Source organism: Homo sapiens, chromosome X, assembly GCF_000001405.40.
Source record: "Homo sapiens chromosome X, GRCh38.p14 Primary Assembly".
Classification (NCBI taxonomy): Eukaryota; Metazoa; Chordata; class Mammalia; order Primates; family Hominidae; genus Homo; species Homo sapiens.
Genome location: NC_000023.11, coordinates 134,726,983 through 134,746,060, shown reverse-complemented (window position 1 = coordinate 134,746,060; position 19,078 = coordinate 134,726,983). Strand labels below are relative to the sequence as shown.

The following is a 19,078-nucleotide window of genomic DNA, read 5'->3' as shown; positions in this document are numbered from 1 at the left end:
CAAGCTGATTCATTTTAAATTCAACAAAAACAAGGGAGAGGTGGGGAGGGGAACAGATTTTAGGGGTTACTTACCTCCCTCTGAAACTAACGCTGGTGTTTTCTAACCCAGCACCTTGCAACAAAGGGAGAGCATGTTAGCTTCCTTCTGGGAAAGGAAGGAACTGGACTCACTGTGGTTTGGGTAGTGCTTGCTACTGAGGCATTAATCAGGGTCCTGACATAGCTGGAAAGGGCTGGTTTCCTTTTCATGTATAGAATCATAAAGGGGGCACAATATTCAAACAAAAGGCCAAGGAAACCTCTCCCAAAGATCCTATCAACTGCAGTTCTGGACCAAGGAGTCTGGCCAGAAGGGAAAGCCCATTTTAGAAAAGGACCCTGTTTTTCCAGGCAGTGACATTCCTGTTACTGCGGATATGACTATAGTTCCAAAGAGGTCACTGAGATAGACCTTAACTTCAACTGGCTTTCAGGGACTGGCCAATTATTTATGGTAGGGTTATTTTTCATTATCTGTAACATTAAGAAGTACAGATCTCCTACGCTTAAGATGGTAGCCATTGTGGTTTGACATCCCACCATCCATTTTACCTCTTACATTGTTTAACGTAAGTATAGTTTTGGGGATTGCTTCCAGCTCCAGTGGGTGGAGCCTGATTAGTCTGAGCCAATCTTGGTGATGCCATGTCTCTGGATTTTTCAGCTATACCTCGCTACAAGGATTGGCTTGGGAATGGGCATATGACTAAATTCATATCAATGACAGATGAAGGAAAGTTTGCAGTGGGTTTCTGAGGAAAGCTTCCTCATTGTTAAGAAAGAGATCTCTCTCACTCCATATGTTGTCATACATGGGTGTGAGGTCTTCAACTGCTGCAGACATCTCACTCAAGCTTGAGGGTAAAGTCAACTGGGGGAGGAGGCCAGGACAAAAAGAAGAGTGGGGAAAAGGAACCAGGGCTACAGAATTATGTTGGCCCTGAAGCCATGTGCCTCTGGATTTCTAGTTTTATGAGCCAAAAGCTTTCTCATTTTGGAAGGTAGATGGTGACAAGAGAGTCTGGCTTGTCCTTGAGACAGGGACTCCCAGATCACCCAGTGGAGACTCTGGGAGACTGATACACACACACTGGACTCAGAAGAGACTGTAATCTGGAACACCAATTTATTCAATGACAAGGAGTATGTGTCTTTCCAGGACCTGAAATGCTTGTGTCCTCTAACTTCCAATCCCAGTATCAAGGTACCTAGGAACCCAGGCTGGTAGTACAAAAATAGCAAACTGCAAAAATAATAATAACCAATAGCCTGGTTTGCCCAAAGTCACGTAGCTTGTAAATAGCAGAGCACAGAGAGTCAACAGGTAGACTCTGATCTGAGTCCAAAGCCAAAACTCATAAGTAGTTTATCTAGCCTTTAGTGACAATCAGGACGTTATTCCGATGGACAAAAACAATATACTGAGCCCTTGCTATGTGGCTGGCCCTGTGCTAAACACTCAACATTTATTACTTAATTGACTCCTCACTATAACCCAGCGGGGACAGGTATTATGATAATTCCCATTTTACAGCAGTGGCAACAGAGGCTTGGAGAAATGAAGTCAGTCCCCAAGGCTATGTGGGTAATAAGTGGCGGGGTCACCTGATATAATTCTAGGGTATCCACTATTCTTTAAGGAATCATAACGAAGGGAGCGGGGAGAAGAGTAGCATCTAGGTTGTTTCCTCTGGTCCCATCCAAAATATACCTTTCTTTTTCTTTTTTTTTTTTTTTTGAGATGGAGTCTCTCTATGTTGCTCAGGCTGGAGTGCAGTGGCATGATCTCAGTTCACTGAAACCTCTGCCCCCTTGGTTCAAGCAATTCTTCTGCCTCAGCCTCCTTAGTAGCTGGGATTACAGGCATGTGCCACACCCAGCTAATTTTTGTATTTTTAGTAGAGATGGGGCTTTCGCCATGTTGGCCAGGATGGTCTCGAACTCCTATCCTTAGGTGATCCACCCGCCTCGGCCTCCCAAAGTGCTGGGATTACAGGCGTGAGCCACCGCGCCCGGCCCAAAATGTATCTTTCTGATGGCCTAAAGAACTTACGTCCTCTTCCTTAAACAATGCCACACACTTGCTGAGAACGTCTTACAATCCAGATGTCCTTATTCAGTATTCACGTTCGGTTACCAAAAACTTTCGTCACAACCAGATCAAGATAACTTATTTTGTATTGGTTAGCCCTTTAAATTGATCCCTTGTGGTTGAGATTTTAGAAACCACTCTCAGTCTCTTGCTGATTTTGAGATAGTACCCTAGTCTTAATAGCATCGATGGCTAGAGTTTTTCTTGTTTCGGAGAGTGACATTGGCTGGCCTTGTCCCTACATCCCAGGAGGCTACCTTATTTGTATCCTGCAGACCTCTTCTTACTGTTTTCAGAATTTTTATGGTGTTTAATTATTCATTCTTGCCTGAACCATACATCTTTGCTGTAACTTATGTTTCTTTTGGTTTTTTACTACGTCTTTATTTTCTAATTAAATTATTTTAATTGTTTTATGTTTGGAAGTCTTCTCTCCCCCACCCCCCAATAAAATGACAAGCTTCTTTCAGGCATTGACTGTATTTTCTGCTTTCTACACATTCCCCACAGCACCAAACAGAAAGTGGAGCACATAGTAAGCATTCAGTGAATGCTGATGGAATTGAATTATGAACTATTGTCTCATGTTCAGTCTTTCCCCAAGGGCTTTTGGTTAGAACATTTGGCCGGAATGTCATACAGACAAAACTGAATTAGGAAAAAACATGCAATATATGTTAGAGTCAAGGTTTCAGGCTTAGAATTTTGCATTACCTAATGTTTTGACTTCTTTTCAAGTCAGTTAGTTATTATCTGGCCTCACAAACATTGCCTTTCTTGTTACATCTTCTAGGTGGGACTTTTCTTTCTCTTTGTCCTGTAATTTCACATTTATCCCTCTCAAACAAATCCTTGAGCATGGTTTTTCTTCTTGCTGAAGAAGTCACTGTTGTGGCCATCCTAGAGTGGCCTGCTGTGAAACATGTGCTATTTCACTTCTGTCTTCATTTTTATTTTCTTGTCTTTCTGTTTCTGTTTTCTTTCCTTTCTCTCTCTCTTTCTTTCCTTCTTCTTTCTTTTTACATTAACAACTGCCTGTAGATGACAACAGCTAGAAGGTGACAACAGAAACAGGAGGACCAGCCCTTGCTGTAGCTTACACCCTAAAAGGGGAAAGACAGGACATCCAAATGGAACAAAACACACACATTTGAGGATTCCAATGCAGGAGGGGACAGAGGAGTCATCAATTTGAACCTAATTTAGCCCCTTAAGGAAGTCAGCACCGAGACCATTGCCAAAACTTTATTGATTCCTACTTTGGACTTAAAAAAACCCTCTCAGAGTTGAAAGAAGACCACTGTTGTCTTTTTTTCTTTTCTTTCTTTCTTTTTTTTTTTGAAACAGAGTCTCGCTCTGTCGCCCAGGCTGGAGTGCAGTGGCGTGATCTCTGCTCACTGCAACCTCCGCCTCCTGGGTTCAAGTGATTCGCCTGCCTCAGTTTCCCAAGTAGCTGGGACTACAGGCATGCGCCACCATGCCCAGCTCATTTTTGTATTTCTAGTAGAGATGGGGTTTCACCATATTGGCCAGGCTGGTCTCGAACACCTGACCTCAGGTGATCCGCCCACCTCAGCCTCCCAAAGTGCTGGGATTACAGGCTTGAGCCACTGCGCCCGGCCCACTGTTGTCTTCCTTACTTCGTACTCCATGCTCCAGGCTGTGCAGCCACAGTCCTGTGCTCTCAGTGCCTGGGCAGGGATAATCAGGAAGTGTCAACTCTGTTATGGAGGGAACAGTAAGCCTGTCTGCCCATCTTCAGTGATGAGGTCTCTTTGAACTTACATATTCAATACCTGGATTTAGACAGCAGTGGCCTGCTTTAGACAGCCATACATGAGAACTGACTGCATGAGGGTGGAAAAAGGCTCTTCCCCACTGCCCATCCCCCACCCAGCCCCTGCACCTGTGACTGTTTGAAATCCCCACTCTGCCAGCTTTGTTCCTCAGTAATTCCTGCTGAGGGAATTTAGGCCTGCTCTCCACAGCCACTTCCATCTGCACTTGGCTTTCTTCTTGAGTCCACAGTTCTGGCAAGGGCTGACTTCTTCCAAGTCAGTGAGAGGAGAGTGCACGTTCAAAATCATCTGCCTGGGATTGGAGAGAGTGGAAAATGGGAAACATGCTCGGTTTGGAGGCATCTCATTCTTTTGGAAAAATCTGAAACCTCCACTGGTTTACTGTTTATAGGCTGCCAAGTGTGTTCTTTTTTTTTTTTTTTTTTTCCAAGACAGAGGACACCATCTCTGCATCTCATTCTAAATAACAGACAAACTATATACAGTGCTTCTCCCACCCATTACAAAATTGCCAAATAAGGTGGGGTTAGGATTTGGCTTATTATCGTGGTTGTTTACCACAAAGGGGTCACAGTTGAACTGCTTTTAGCAAAAATAGGGTGTTGTTACTCTCTCCCTCCTCGGTGATTGGGTATGTCTATTCCTTATCCAAAATTTCCAGACAGTTCCTGTCTCAGAGACTTGTTACCCCTAAACTACCTTGCTACTTAATTTAACAAAAAGGAAAGTATGAAAATTAGATGTTTGCTCATTGCTTCTGACATTTTTTCTTCCAAAGTTCTCCTCACCGTACTACAGTGGAGGGAAAGACTATGAACATACATTCGTTACGGGTATACTTTTTTGATTTGGTAAAAAGGCTCTGCTATTGTGAAGCATGTCTTAAACATAAACAATAAAACCTCATAAAGCTAGCTTCTGTTTACCCAAAGTGGTGGGTAATTGGAAACCGGATTATAGAATCATAGATTTTTTAAAATAAAATTGTTATCGAAGCATAATATCCATGTCAAAAAGTACACAAATCATTAGTGTACAACTTGATGGATTTTTACAAAATGAACATACCCGTGTAACCAATACCCAGATCAAGAAACAGAACACTTTCCTTATATTAGTTTCTGTGGTTGCCATAACACATTACTACAAATTTCATGGCTTAAAACAACAGAAATGTATTCCTTCGCAGTTCTAGAGGCCAGAAGTCTGAAAGCAAGATGTCAGCAGGGCTGTGCTTCCTCCAGGGGCTGTAGGGGAGAATCCTTCCTTACCTCTTCCTTCCTGGAGCTAGTGGCTCCAGGCATTCCTTGGCTTGTGGCTGCATCACTTCAGAATTCTCTGCCTCTGTCTTCACATGGCCTTCTGCTTCTCCCTCTTCTGTGCCTTCTCCTTTGCCATCTCTTATAATGATACTTGTCATTGGCTTTAGGGCCCACTCAGATAATCCAGGATGAACTCATCTTGAGAGCCTTAACTTAGTTATATCTGCAAAGGCCCCTTTCCCAAAGAAGGCCACATTCACAACTTCTAGGACATGGTCATATCTTTTCTGGGGCCGCCATTCAAGCTAATACCCCTCTCAGCGACTTCCATGTCAAAGGTAACCACTGTCCTGACCTCTAAAAGCATAGATTAGCTTTGCATGCAATTCAGTTTTCTATAAATAGAATCATAGAGGCCATACTCTTTTGTGTGTGGCTTCTTTTCGTAACATCATGCTCATGAGATCTCCATGGTTGCTTACAGCTGTTGATCATTCACTCTCATTGCAGTATAGTATTCTATTGAATTAGTTTTTTTTTTTTTTTTTGGAGACGGAATTTCACTGTTGTTGCCCAGGCTGGAGTGCAATGGCGCGATCTTGGCTCACTGCAACCTCCGCCTCCCGGGTTCAAGCGATACACCTGCCTCAGCCTCCCGAGTAGCTGGGATTACAGACATGCACCACCACGCCCGGCTAATTTTGTATTTTTAGTAGAGACGGGGTTTCTCCATGTTGGTCAGGTTGGTCTTGAATTTCCCACCTCAGGTGATCTGCCCGCCTCAGCCTCACAAAGTGCTGGGATTACAGGCATGAGCCACCATGCACAGCCTGAATGACTTTATCACAATGATCCATTCGACTTTTGAAGGGCCTTTGAATTACTTTTAGTGTTACCATTACGATAATGTGGTTATGAATATTCCTGTATTTGTGTCTTGGGGCAAATGTGCATATATTTCCATTGGGTATACCCAGGGGTGGAATTTTTAGGTCCTAGGATATGTGTATGTTCAGCTTCAGTAGACAGTGCCAAAGAATTATAGATTTTTTAAGTTATAATTAATCTTTGAAATCGAGACCAGATTTAAGTAATGCCTCACTTAAATAAAATGCATGTAATAATCCCAAATCCACTAATCCAAAAAACAGTATTTCTCCTGGTGCCCAGACCTTTCGAAAGGGGCAGATCTTATTCTACATTGCCATTCTGGCACGGACACCCCAAAAACATGCTGCATTGTCTTTGTCAGATCACACAAGTAAAAGAGAACTTGGTAGCATTGGCCATGGAGAGAGGCAAGAGGCAAGCCATGTGGCCAAGAGCATTAGCTGGAATTAACCAGCTTCCTCCCTGCACTGAGGCTTCCTGTTTGCTCTAGCAGTCAGCTGGCTTGGGATAGCATTGAAGGCAGGCTCTCTTATCCTCACTAGTGTAGGCATAGGAGCGATGTTGCCTAGGAAAGGGCATTATACATGAAGCTTGCATTTCAAGAAGTGTCTGTTTCAAAAAAAAGTTCCCACTTTTGGACCCTGAGCTATGAAAAGCCAAAGTCACCTCGAAGTCGAATAAAAAAATCAATTTAACAAAACAGTCCCTTTCACACACACTCCCACCCTGCTGTGTTATTTTTTTAAAACCATTTAGTGTCATTAAGCCATTGCCTCATAAAGTTGTTTCACCAGGAACTTCAGTTTCCCCAGGAAGAGATGAAAATAAACTGAACATTTCATGTCACTGTTCCCACGAGTCTTAAAAAATCATGTTTGTCTTTAACAGCACGATATGAAACATCTCTTGTCGATAAGGAGTTATACTTCAGGATAACAAGGCAACAGAATCTACAATGATAAATTTTACCCACATTTTAAGCCAGAATTCCTCATATAGATTACCAGGCATATTTGACTCCAACCATATTTTCCCACATAATTATTTCTTTTAAATCTCCTAATTATTCCATTCTGTTGAATACCATATGTCCTGCTGAGGGACAATTGTGTCTAAACAAATCAACAGGTTTTGCATCATTGTCTAAATATGAGGGAGAAACAACAGCCCCACAACTCTACTCTGGCATTTTGGTGGAAATGAAGAGTTCTAAATCCCACATTGGGAATGCCTCATCTCTGGCTCCCCTGGAAGATAACTTGTGGAGCCCAAAAACAAAGCCAAATGAATTTTGGAAAGGTCAGTGGGAAAGACATTGGGGTGGGACTTTTCCAGAAAATGTTTGAGCCTTTGCTCCATGAGCTGTCTGGTCACCCGGACAGTTTGTACTTCCCAGAGAGGGTGGGGAAGAGAGCAGAAGCAATTCTTCTCTCTGGGTACCTGGGTCCAGGGGGGCTGGAAACCTGGGATTTGCTCAGTTGGCTTGGGTGCAGTTGTCTCACCCTGGGAACGAGCCCGTTTGAACCCTATGAACAGTGTAGTTATGTCAGGAACCTTGGAGATAGAACAGAACATCTGTGGGAATAAAATAGCTGAGGATTGTCTGCCTTGTGTCTTGTTTTCGAGAGAACTGCTGATGTGTTTCAAATAATTGAATACTGTGCGCTGGGAAAGTGCTTCTCCCTGAAGCCAGTTCCAGGCACCCCAGAGCTCCAGTGCTTCTGCTAAGGGCTTGCAGACATCGCTGTTAACACGCCACCTTCCAACAATAATTGACCTTTCTCCTTTTTATTTTCTTTTTTCTCACCCTCTCTGTCTTGCTCTCACTACTCTCCCCCTTTCTCTAGTCTTAGTTTTCTCTTTATATGTTTATGTCTTCCCTCAAAGATGTGGCCAAGAAGCCCCGATGGCTCTCAGAGTCACAAAGAAGGTTAAGTGCACTGGTGTGAGGATAACTGGCAGTTCTGAGAAATCCGCAAGTCCCTGAAGATTCTTTTCCTCCCTCTGTGATTGCATCAGCCTCGCCCTCCCCTACTTGTCTGTGTTGTCCATTCTCCTTTTATCCATGCTCACTTCTAAATCAGTTCATTCAAACACCATAAGCATTTGCCTTCAGCGAATTAACTCTGATTTAGTTCAAAGTTCAATCAAAAGGAACCAGAATAAAGGAATAGAGTGGACTTTCCTTTCGGCGCCCCCACCTGACTTCCCATAAGCCAAACTAGCTTTTTCGTCGACCTCAGCATGGTTAGAGCTTCCAGATCTCCTTTCCAACTGCCCATGCAATGTCAGAAGGAAGGGTAATGGAGCACACCTCTAGAATGTTGGGGATCAGTGGTGCTCCCAATTAGGGGCAGGTGCATTAGCACACACACACTTCCTGGCCTCTTCCCTGGCCCCTGTCCAGAACTCCAGCAAGCTAATCACAAGGAAAATGTGTGTGCCTGAATGTTAGGAGTGAACAGGCAGGTGACTTGCTTCAGAATTAGCTTGCAGCGTCTCTTTTTCTAGCTGCCATCCAGTATTAGATGTGGTAACCACACCAGTTAACACCCCGGATTGGCTTGGGATTATGAATGGAAGGAAGGGAGATCCCCATGCAAGCAAGCAGCTGTCCCTTTGCTTAATTATTGGGATCCACAAGTCCATCCCTATTGCCAGGGCTTCAGTGTCGAGATGATGAAATAGGTGATTAAGGGACTTGGAGGCCAGTCCACATTGCAGCTTTGTCTGAGTGTTCCAACGACAAGTGTTATTAGTCCACTAATCATAACATTGCCTGCAGTGGAATTTCCTTGGGAAGGAATGGGGCAGCGCCTCCATGCCAGAGGGCTGCGCAGCATGAAAATACTAACACATCACAATTGGCTGTTCTGTGGGAAGACGATTCCAACATCCAATTCAGGAAATAGGTCACCGGGCTGCTAGATACACTGCTATTTTGATTTACTTCCTTAGACTCTTGCAGTCTTCATAGACTTCTCTCTGGGTAGAATCAAACTCCTCCAACTTACTGGCTTCTGGAGTGCCACATAGGGAAAGATGCAAGCAAGTTCTGAAAACAGAGGCATGGATTTCTCGTGATCAATCTTGTGGTGTCCTGGTGTCCACTTGCTTCTAGAATCAAACACAATGCCCTTCGGGATACTCCTCACCTTGACCTCTTTCAGGGGAGCTTCCCAGAGGTCTGGGGCCATGGCTTTTAGGAGCCTGCAGCTGTGCCGGCCAGACAACAAATGTTTAGTGAGAGGTTGAAGAGATACAAATGGGTTGAAGGGCGCCAGAGCCTTCTCAGTAATGAGCATAGCAAAGCTTCGATTTCCAAGGATCTTGGGAGGACAAGATGTACTCATTTGGAGTATTGCACTGCCAGGGCTGTTTGTACCAGCTGTCGGGTTCAGAGACCACCCTGTTGGTGGGGTCAGGGGCCCAGCCAACCCTTTCTTTTATTCTATACCTCTGGTCACTTGGGCCTTAAGAAGCAGGAGTCGGGGCGGTGGGGGCGGTTTGGGGCTCTGTCACTAAGCAGCTGCCTCTTTCCTGGATCAGTCTAGACTTCCCTCTGATTTTTCCTAAACCCAAGCAGTTGTCTACTGCCTTGGAGTGTCAGCAAAGGGTATTTGTGGGTCTTTGGTATTTGCAGATTTCATATCAGGCAAAAGCTTACATTCCCCTTTTCTTCTTCTTCTTTTTTTTTTGAAATGGAGTCTCGCTTTGTCACCAGGCTGGAGTGCAGTGGCACAATCATCTCAGCTCACTGCAACCTCTGCCTCCCAGGTTCAAGCGATTCTCCTGCCTCAGCCTGCCGAGTAGCTGGGACTACAGGCGCATGCCACCACACCCAGCTAATTTTTGTATTTTTAGTAGAGACAGGGTTTCACCATGTTGGCCAGGATGGTCTCGATCTCTCAATCTTATGATCCGCCTGCCTCGGCCTCCCAAAGTGCTGGAATTACAGGCGTGAGCCACCGCGCCCAGCCCCTTTACTTCTTCTTCTTCTTTTTTTTTTTTTTTTTTTAAGGTAGACAGATTATATGACATTGGGGGCTCTGAACTTACCCACTGCCCACTTTTTGTTTTTAGCCTTTCAACTACTGGGTAATTCTGGATTTATAACCTCTTTCTTGGTGCCCAGAGACATACTATATTATGTTGGGGCATAAATTTTGGGCTTCAGCTCACCTGTCCAGAGATGCCATCCCAAGGCAGTCTTTTAGGAGATGAGGAGTTGTACCAGTTGAGATACCATGGGAGGGTTTGAAGAGGTGTCTTGCTGAGTAAGACCAAAGGGTGTTTTCTCTCTCTCTCTCTCTCTCTTCCTCTCTCTTTCTTGCTTTCTCTCTCTCTTCCCTGCTAGCCATGACCTATATCAGCAAATAGAAAAGGGGAATATTTGTGATAAACTCCTCCTGGCAAATCCATTTTTTGGGCTCTGGACTTGAGAAGAGCTTTACTGCCTTTTAAAATTCTAAGTAGTCTGTTAAACACTATTTCGACCCTCTAATTCTTTCTCCAGTTCTTTTTTCTTTTCTTTCTTTTTTTTTTTAACAAATCTTTAGAGCAGAGGTTGTCACACAAGTAAGTGGAGTAGAATTTATAGTCACTGCAGAACAACCACATGGTTATTGCATATACTGCAGAGACAAGCAAAAGATATGAGACAAAAATTGCAAGAGCAAGCACCTCCAAGTTATCCAGCAGCCAGTAAGGTTACAGAGATTGCTACTGGTTACAGAGGCTGTGATGTGAGCTGGGCCTGAATTTGATCCCCAGCTGTGCTCCTTATAGCCGTGGCACTAGGCAGGTTCCTGAGCCCCTGCTTCCTACCCTCCAGATGAAAACAAAAGTTCTTAGTGCGAAAGGGTTGGGAAGGTTAAACAAGAAAATATAGGTGATATGCTTTCTCAGCCCAGTCCTGGAAATTAGTAAAATGGTCACAGAATGGTGACTTTTCTCATTATGAAAATCACCTCCTTGGCTTTGTAGTCCCATTTCCTGTTTAATAGCAACTGAAATAGCCACAGGAGCCACCACCCCCCATCTGAGTCTGGCTATTTTCGAGGCTCCATTTGGAAGGGGATGGCCCCAGCAGTCCAGGGGGTGGGAGGTGGTGGGGAGGGAGGCATTATTCTCTGGGTTGCAGCTGTGGCAGTAAGTACAGTATCCCCCACATGCCAGATGAATCAAGCTGAGGGCCAGATCTGGGCTGTGGGCCAGAGGTTCCCCACCCTGATTTATAGCATGGACAGAGATGTGGGTGTTTTGTGAATATATTTTGATGATGATAAAAAAAAGAGAGAGGGGAGGGAACGCCATTCCTTAAAAATGTGCTGAGGGAGGGAGGTTCAGACCTATCTTCAAGATTAGAGCAGCCTGGCTGTTCGCGGTAGCAAGTCATTAGAAAGAGGCCCATGGAAGAGCAGCCTGTGAGAGGCCTTGAAACACAGTGAATTGTGAATAAGGCCCCTGTATGCCAGCCATTGGGGGCAGATTAGGCTTGCTGTCCTCTCTGCAGGTGTGGAGTGGGGGACTAAGCCTGCATTTTAACTCCTGCAGGTCCCAAGAGCAGAGAAAGGGAGCACTGGGTCTGCTGAGCTGTGGGGAGCCCCCCGGCCCCATGCGTTCCCAGTGCTAATAGTTCTCCCGAAACCAGCCAGGCTTTGCCTCTGAGATCAGGCCTAGGTCATTGCCAATGGACTGAGGACAACAGGCTAAGTGTGGAAGTTTGCCCTGGATGGAGTTTGGAGAAAACTCACGTGGAGGATTTATTCTAAACCTTCAACCTAACAACACATTTGAGAGGGCTGGCTGAGCAGCAGATGGGAGTTGTGGCTCCCTCCAGAATGTTCCCCTCCCAAACAAGGCACAGCTAGGCACAGACCTCCTTGTTTTACTTGTGGGATATCAGGCACAGTTGTCCTGGTTTACTGTGTTTCATCCAGGAAAGAACTTCAATCAGGTTTCCTAGGACCCCTACAGATCTTTGAAGACAAGAGATTTATTCCCCAGAGGTGAGGCCACTAAACAGACAGGGTCCTAAAGCTTGCAGTTCATAAAATCACATCGGTCTGCAAACATCTTTTTTTTTCTAAGGGAAGGGCAGTGAACGCTCTCATGCCAACAGCCTGCAGTATCTGACAAGTACAATCTGGTTTTTTTCCCTCTCACCTCTCACTGCTCCCAGCCTTGAGCCTTCTGTTCAAACCAGGCCTCATCCTCATCCCCAGCACCCCTGCCAACCCACCCTGCTCAGATTTGCCTTTAAGCTTTTGCTCCATCTGGAATCCTCTTGCCCTTTGAGGATCCAAAGCCTTTGTCCTTTCACATGACCAGTTCTCTGAGGAAACAGCCCTAGCTATTCCTGAGGCCCCCATTACTGCCTGGTCAAGGGCTTTGGGGCACATACTGCCTGTGCGTCCATCCTCATGAACTCCAAATCTCCCCGCTACTCCACAGGACAAAGAAAACGAGACTGACAACGAAGTCTGAAGGAGAAAGGCAAGTATCTTTCTGCTGGACTGGCCCTCAAGACTTAGCACAAGTGAGTTTTTGGAGTTTTTTCCTGTGATTTCTGTGTGTACATATATACTCACCTCTTTTCTGTGTTCACTTCACTGAAACACAAATCCACCACACCCATAAGGCCAACCCTGGGTTACTTTTTGAGCCTGCAGAGATTTCCCCCAACAGACAAAACTTCTAAGCCCCGGAAGTTCTCTGTTTTATATCTAGGATGTGAACTAAGACTCTGTGAGAGGGGTTCTGGTCTATATCACTTGGGGCTGCCTCCTTCAAGGGATGGTGAGAAGCCCCCTGAAATGAAATAAAATGGTTTCTCAGGCTCTTCCTTTTGAATTTCCCATTTCCTGCCTCAGGGCTCAACAAAGGACTTGTGTATGAGGGGGTGTGTGAGTGTGTGTACCATGGCAGGAGAAGGCACACAGGATCCTTGTTGTTCATTCACTTTTCCTGGGAGGAAACAGCAGTGGGTGTCTATTCCCAGCAGTATTAGGAAGCAGTGGTGTGGGCCCCTCGCCGTCTCTCTTCCCAGCTTGCTGGGAACGTCTTTTACTCCAAGCTGGTTAAGTAACCACAGAGTTGCATCTCTGGCTTCTCTGACTACCTCCCACTCTCCACTTGATGCCCACAAAAACAATGTGTTCAGCTGATGTTTGGGTAACGTTGTACATATTCCTAGCAAGGACATTGGACATATTCCTTGCAGATAAGGAAGGTAGGATCCGTTCCTGACTCAGGAGGCTGATGTTTCATTCTAATAAAGCTCAAGGTTTCTCCTCGCCCACAGTCGTGCTTTTTGATAACCTGGCAACAGCCAAACCTCAGTCATTGCTTTGAATGGCCCTATCTCAGCATTTAAGAGCATTTTTCAGGGGCTGGGCTTCATAAAGATTGGGGTTTTTTTGAGATCCTGTTAAAAAATGGGGTAAGCATCGTGGGCACATGCTCATCACAACCCAGGGAACAAACTGTTGGCGAGGAGTGTAGTAGAGCCCACATACAGACCAAATGCATTAATTATGAATGGTTCTTATCTTGTGATTAAAACAGATCTGGCAGGCCTGGAACTTGGCAGCCCTTGGTTAGCTATTAGTTCTATGCTACTGTACCGGCTGGGCAGTCATAAAACTGTATCTCTTTGAAAAATGGTCCATCATGTAGAACAGCCTCCTCTGCACCCATTAGCTCAAATTGATATGACTTGATGGCCTAATCTTGGGCTTCTCAGATGCTGGATTTAATTTCTGTCTGGAGCTTTAGGAAATCTGGAGGAAGGGACACAAGGGCTGCATGCAGTGAGGTAGGGTCAGAGGATGTACACACCAGCCCCCACCTCCATCTGCACAACTCCCCTTACTGATGGAAGGCATCCCTCTAGTTCATGTTGCCATTGTGTGCCCCCACTCTGTCAAGCCCTGTTAAGGAATTAACTACAAGTTGGGAGTTCATTGGTAAGATCCTGGGGCATGACTTGCAGGTGCAATCACAGCTTACTGCAGCCTCGACCTCCTGGGCTGAAATGATCCTCCCACCTCAGCCCTCCGTGTAGCTGGAACTACAGGTGTTTGCCATCAATCCCGGGTAATTTTTTATACTTGTATATTGACAGGTGTCTCAAGGAGGCAAAAGCTCCCAAGGATGGAGGCCATAGTGCTGGGATAAGAACTCATAGTGTAGATATTTTTGGACTGAGTCTTATCAGAAGACACTTTAGGAATTTCAGGAATCAGAAGGGTGTGATTGGGAAAACAGGGGCAGAGCTTCCCAATGCCCCAGAAATCCCACCAAATAGACCACACTGAGTCTCCAGTCAGATGGTGCCAATCTCTCTGCTCTACCCCGGCAGTAGTAGGCCTACGATATTGCTAGATAGCATTCATGAAGTTCCAGCTAGGCCAAGTACTTTTGCAAGTTCATGAGCAGGCCCCTAGGGTAGTCTAGCTTGTAGTCTAGATGAGAAGGCTGTTGCTAATGCTTGAATGGACTTTTATTTGATTATTTGATTTAAATGTCTCAAAAATGGAGCAAGAACCTAATCTATTGACAAAAACATGAATTTGGGAATCAAATCCAACCATTGCTCATTTATTCACCTTCAAAAGTTGAGCATTTTATATTGAGCATTAAATATGTGCCAGGCACAGTGAAAAGCATTCATGTGACAGGTAGGTACAATTATATCCCCATTTTATAGAGATACAAACTGATGCTCGGGCATATTCATCTCGGTTGCACAGCTCTAAAGTAGTGGTGCTGGAATTAAAAACAATGTAGCACAGAGCATAGGTTGTGAAGTCAGGCTGCAGGAATATTCATATTCTTATAGATAAATGTGTAAAACTAAGGGATGTTTCTTTTCATAAGTGTTCTCTGGAGGAGCTCTCAGCCTCACGTGGGAAAATAGCTCTGTCACTCAGAGGAGAGCTTTAGGAGGATGATACAGGTATGGGCACCATCAACATATAGAAGGCAAGTGAAGCTGAGGGAGATGAGAGGAAGGGCCAGAAAGACTTGCTGTAGGTCACACAGCCATCAAGGACAGAGCCAGGCCCAGGCAACAGCACTTCCCCCATTGCCGTTTCCTTCAGCTGCAACTTCCATACCAAGAGGCGGCTCCATCCTTTCCTCGCCCCCTTTCTCTTACTTTACAGTCAGACAGGAGTTATTTCCCAGGAAGCAATAACAGTATTGACAATCAGAGGAGTTTGGGACAGGCACCGTGGCTTATGCTTATAATCCCAGCACTTTGGGAGGCCGAGGCAGGAGGATTGCCTGAGCCCAGGAATTTGAGACCAGCCTGGGCAACATAATGAGACCCCATCTTTACAAAAAAATTTTTAAAAAATTAGCTGGGCATAGTGGCGCACAACTATAGTCCTAGCTACTTGGGAGGCTGAGGCGGGAGGATCGCTTGAGCCCAGGATTTTGAGGCTGCTGTAAGCTATGATGGCATCACTGTGCTCCAGCCTGGGTGACAGAGCAAGACCCCTATCTCTTAAAAAAAAGAATTCATCTTGAGTAATTATTCATAGCTATTGAGTATGAATGAATTCTGTGGTAAATAGACAACTCTAGGGATTTCAGCACCCACTCCCATTGGGAAACCTTGCTCTAAACTCTCACATAAAACACTTTCCTTCTCAGAAACTCAATGCTGGCTGTGAAGAAGAGCTTCCAGAGCAATGACTTTCTCTTGACAAAGGCTGGCCCTCTCAAAAATGGTAACATTTGTCTGTTGCAGTGTGCAAGCTCACACCTTTCTCTCATATGGAGCCTTCAGGTCCTCATGTGCTTGTGCTTTCACCCCTGGATCAGAGTGCATCTTCATGTGCTGTCCACATGTGTACAACAAAACTGTCTCTCTGGGGCCAGGTGTGATGGCTCACATCTGTAATCCCAGCACTTTGGGAGACTGAGGCAAGTGGATCACTTGAGGTCAGGAGTTCGAGACCAGCCTGGCCAACATGGTGAAACCCCGTCTCTACTAAAAATACAAAGTTAGCCGGGTGTGGTGGTGCACACCTGTAATCCCAGCTACTTGGGAGGCTAAGGCAGGAGAATCACTTGAACCTGGGAGGTGGAGGTTGCAGTGAGCCAAGATCAAGCCATTGCACACCAGCCTGGGGAACAAGAGCGAAACTCCGTCTCGAAAAACAAAACAAAAAAAAAGATAGAAAGAAAGAAAAAGAAACAGAAAACACCTTTCTCTATGGAAAGAATATCATAATGGCTCATATGCTCTTTTCTGGGCCTTTGTTTCAGGGGACAAGAACCCCAACAGTGGAATTTCAGGCATCAGCCAGCAGGTGGGTGGATTAATAAAGAGAGATTGAGAGAAGGCACCTTTCTGCCACTCCTGAAATCATACTCCTGGCTCTGAGTGTCAGTCCCGTTTGGAAACTATAGCTGGAAAAGTCTCAGCTGCCCCTGACACGGTCAAATGGAAAGTGCATGGGCTCTGGAGTCAGACTGTCTGGGGTCGTGTTCTAGCTCTGCTACTTACTAGCTGTGGCACTTTTCATAAGTTACTCAATGCGTGGTGCCTCAGTTTTCTCGTTCTATAAAACAAGATAAGTATAGTACATAATTCACAGGGTTCTTAGGTGGGTAGATCTAGATAACTTGAATACATATAAACACTTAGCAGAGTGCCTGTGTGCCGGGTACAATGGGAAGCACTTAATGAATGGTATCTAGTCTTATCATTTCCTTGCTAAAGCTACCTCTTCTTTTAAGTCCCTTAACTAAGTAGGTCACTTTAGAGAAACTCAATTCAACTGGAATTATTGAGTGTCTGTTGTGTGCCTAGCATTGTGCTGGGGACACTGTGAGGAATACAGGAGAAATCTATGAAGGAAGAACTGTTCTCAAGGAGCTTTTTAGGCAGGATGTTTTGAGTTTCCTCCAACAGCCCAACTAGCAGCCACGTGGAGAGGCCCACGGCTCTTCCTTACATAGTAGCATAGCAAGGGGTTTAAACTTATGGGCTCTGCAATCAGACAGGCATATCATCTCTGCCTCCTGACTGAGGTGTGATGTTGGGAAAGGTACACTACCTCCCCATTTCTCGGTTTCCTCATCTATAAAAATGTGCATCATAATTACATCTTTATACATTGTGTGCCCATCAACATAGATTTATGATTATTGATTTATGCAATTGTCTTTTCAATCAGATAGGAAAAAAGGGAGTTACAAAATACCTTAAAATCTTTAACATTTACCTTTAAATATTAAATTTACTGGTGTTCTTTTCTTTCTTCCTGTGGATTCAAACTACTATCTGGTGTCCCGTCATTTCAGCCTGAGAGATTCCCTTTATCATTTCTTGTAGTGAAGATATCCTAGCAACAAACTCTCACTTTTTATCTAGCTGGGAATGCCTTCATTTCTCCTTTATTTTAAACAACAGTTTGGTTGGGGATAGAATTTTTGGTTGACAGTTGTTTGCCTTTCAGCACTTTGAATATGTCATCACACTGGCTTCTGGTCTTCATGGTTTCTGATGAGAAATCAACTGTTAATTTTATTGGGGGTCTTTTGTATGTGATGAGTCACTTCCCTCTTGCTGCTTATGAGATTCTCTTTGCCTTTGGCTTGTCACAGTTTGATTACGATGTATCTAGATATGGACATTTTTGAGTTTATCCTACTTGGAGTTGGTGGTGCTTTTTGGATGTGTAGGTTAATGTTTTTCATCAAATTTGGGGAGATTCTGCCTATTATTTCTTCAAACATTCTTTATACTCCTTTCTTCCTCTCCTCTCCTTCTGAAACTCCCATTAAGTGTACGTTGTTATGCTGGATGGTGTCCCACAGGTGTCTGAGGCTCTGACATTTTTCTTCATTCGTTTTTCTTTCTGTTTCTCACGCTGGATAATATAAGTATCTTCAAATTTGCTGATTCTTTCTTCTCCCCATTCAAATCCGCCATTGAACATCTTTAGTGAATTTTTCATTTTAGTTATTATATTTTTAATTCAAAAATTTCTATTTGGTTGTTTTAAAATAATTTCTATTTATATTTTCTGTTTATTGAGATATCACTCTCATATTTTAGTTCTTTAGACATGGTTTCCTTTCACTCTTTGAACCTATTTGAAATAGCTGATTTAAATCTTTGTGTAAAAAGTCCAACATCAGGCCTTCCTCAGGGACAGTTTCTATTGATTGTTTTCTTTTCCTTTGTATGGGCTATTTCTTTGCAGATCCCATACATTTTTTGTTGAAAACTGGGCATTTTGAATATTATAAGGTGGCATCCTGGAAATCAGATTCTCTGTCCTCCTGAGCGTTTGTTGTTGTTGCTGCTTGTTGTAGTAGTTATTTGTTTAGTGACATATTCTGTTTGAACTTCTACCAGAGTTGGCCAGTCCTATCTCATAGCTACAATTTGCAAAGTATAACTCCCCCTACTGTTTGCTTTGGCTGCCCCACAACTCTTTTGATGAAACTTAAAGCCAGGCATTAAGAGAAGCAAGATATAAATATGAAGCTTGTCTTGATGCCTCTTAGATCTTCATGGAGCAACCTTTATTCAAATAACTCATAAATTACAAGGCAAATCAGCATTCATTATCTGCCTTTATGTCAGAATGAGAAAAAAATGAGAGATTTACATGGCATGAGAGAAGAACGCATTCCACTCTTCTAAGAGGCGTTAAAGGCTCCCTTTTTAGTGAAATAAGCCACAATCCAGAAGGAGAATGGAAATCCATGTCACTTGAGAGAGATGCCACTAGCCCTTTCCTTCTATTTGCAAGCCTCCCTACTTTTGAGGGAGGGGGAGCACACCCCTGCTAACCGGAGTTGTCTAGGTCCTGTGGTGTTACCAGAGACAGGGGTGCCTATGTGAGGCTCTCTCTCCGAGCAAAGGAGGAAGCCTTAGGAAATTGGGAGGTAATCAGAGACTGGGCCAGAAGGACTGGTAAGGTAGCCTGAGGAGCATGGGCAGAGTGTCTCCAGCACTGGATG

At 44.3% G+C, this 19,078-nt stretch overlaps 1 protein-coding gene across 4 annotated transcripts in view; it reads left to right on the top strand.

Moving 5' to 3' along the window:
* Positions 1-19,078, top strand: part of PLAC1 (placenta enriched 1) — a 198,485-nt gene that overhangs the window by 18,262 nt on the left and 161,145 nt on the right. The window contains exon 2 of one of the 4 annotated variants that reach the window (NM_001316887.2): positions 12,542-12,626. The exons of 2 other annotated variants lie outside the window; for them this stretch is intronic. The gene's annotated coding sequence lies outside the window, so the exon portion shown is untranslated. Of the gene's footprint in view, positions 1-12,424; positions 12,627-19,078 lie in introns of those variants that run through there. One more of the 4 variants, NM_001316888.2, reaches the window with a different exon arrangement.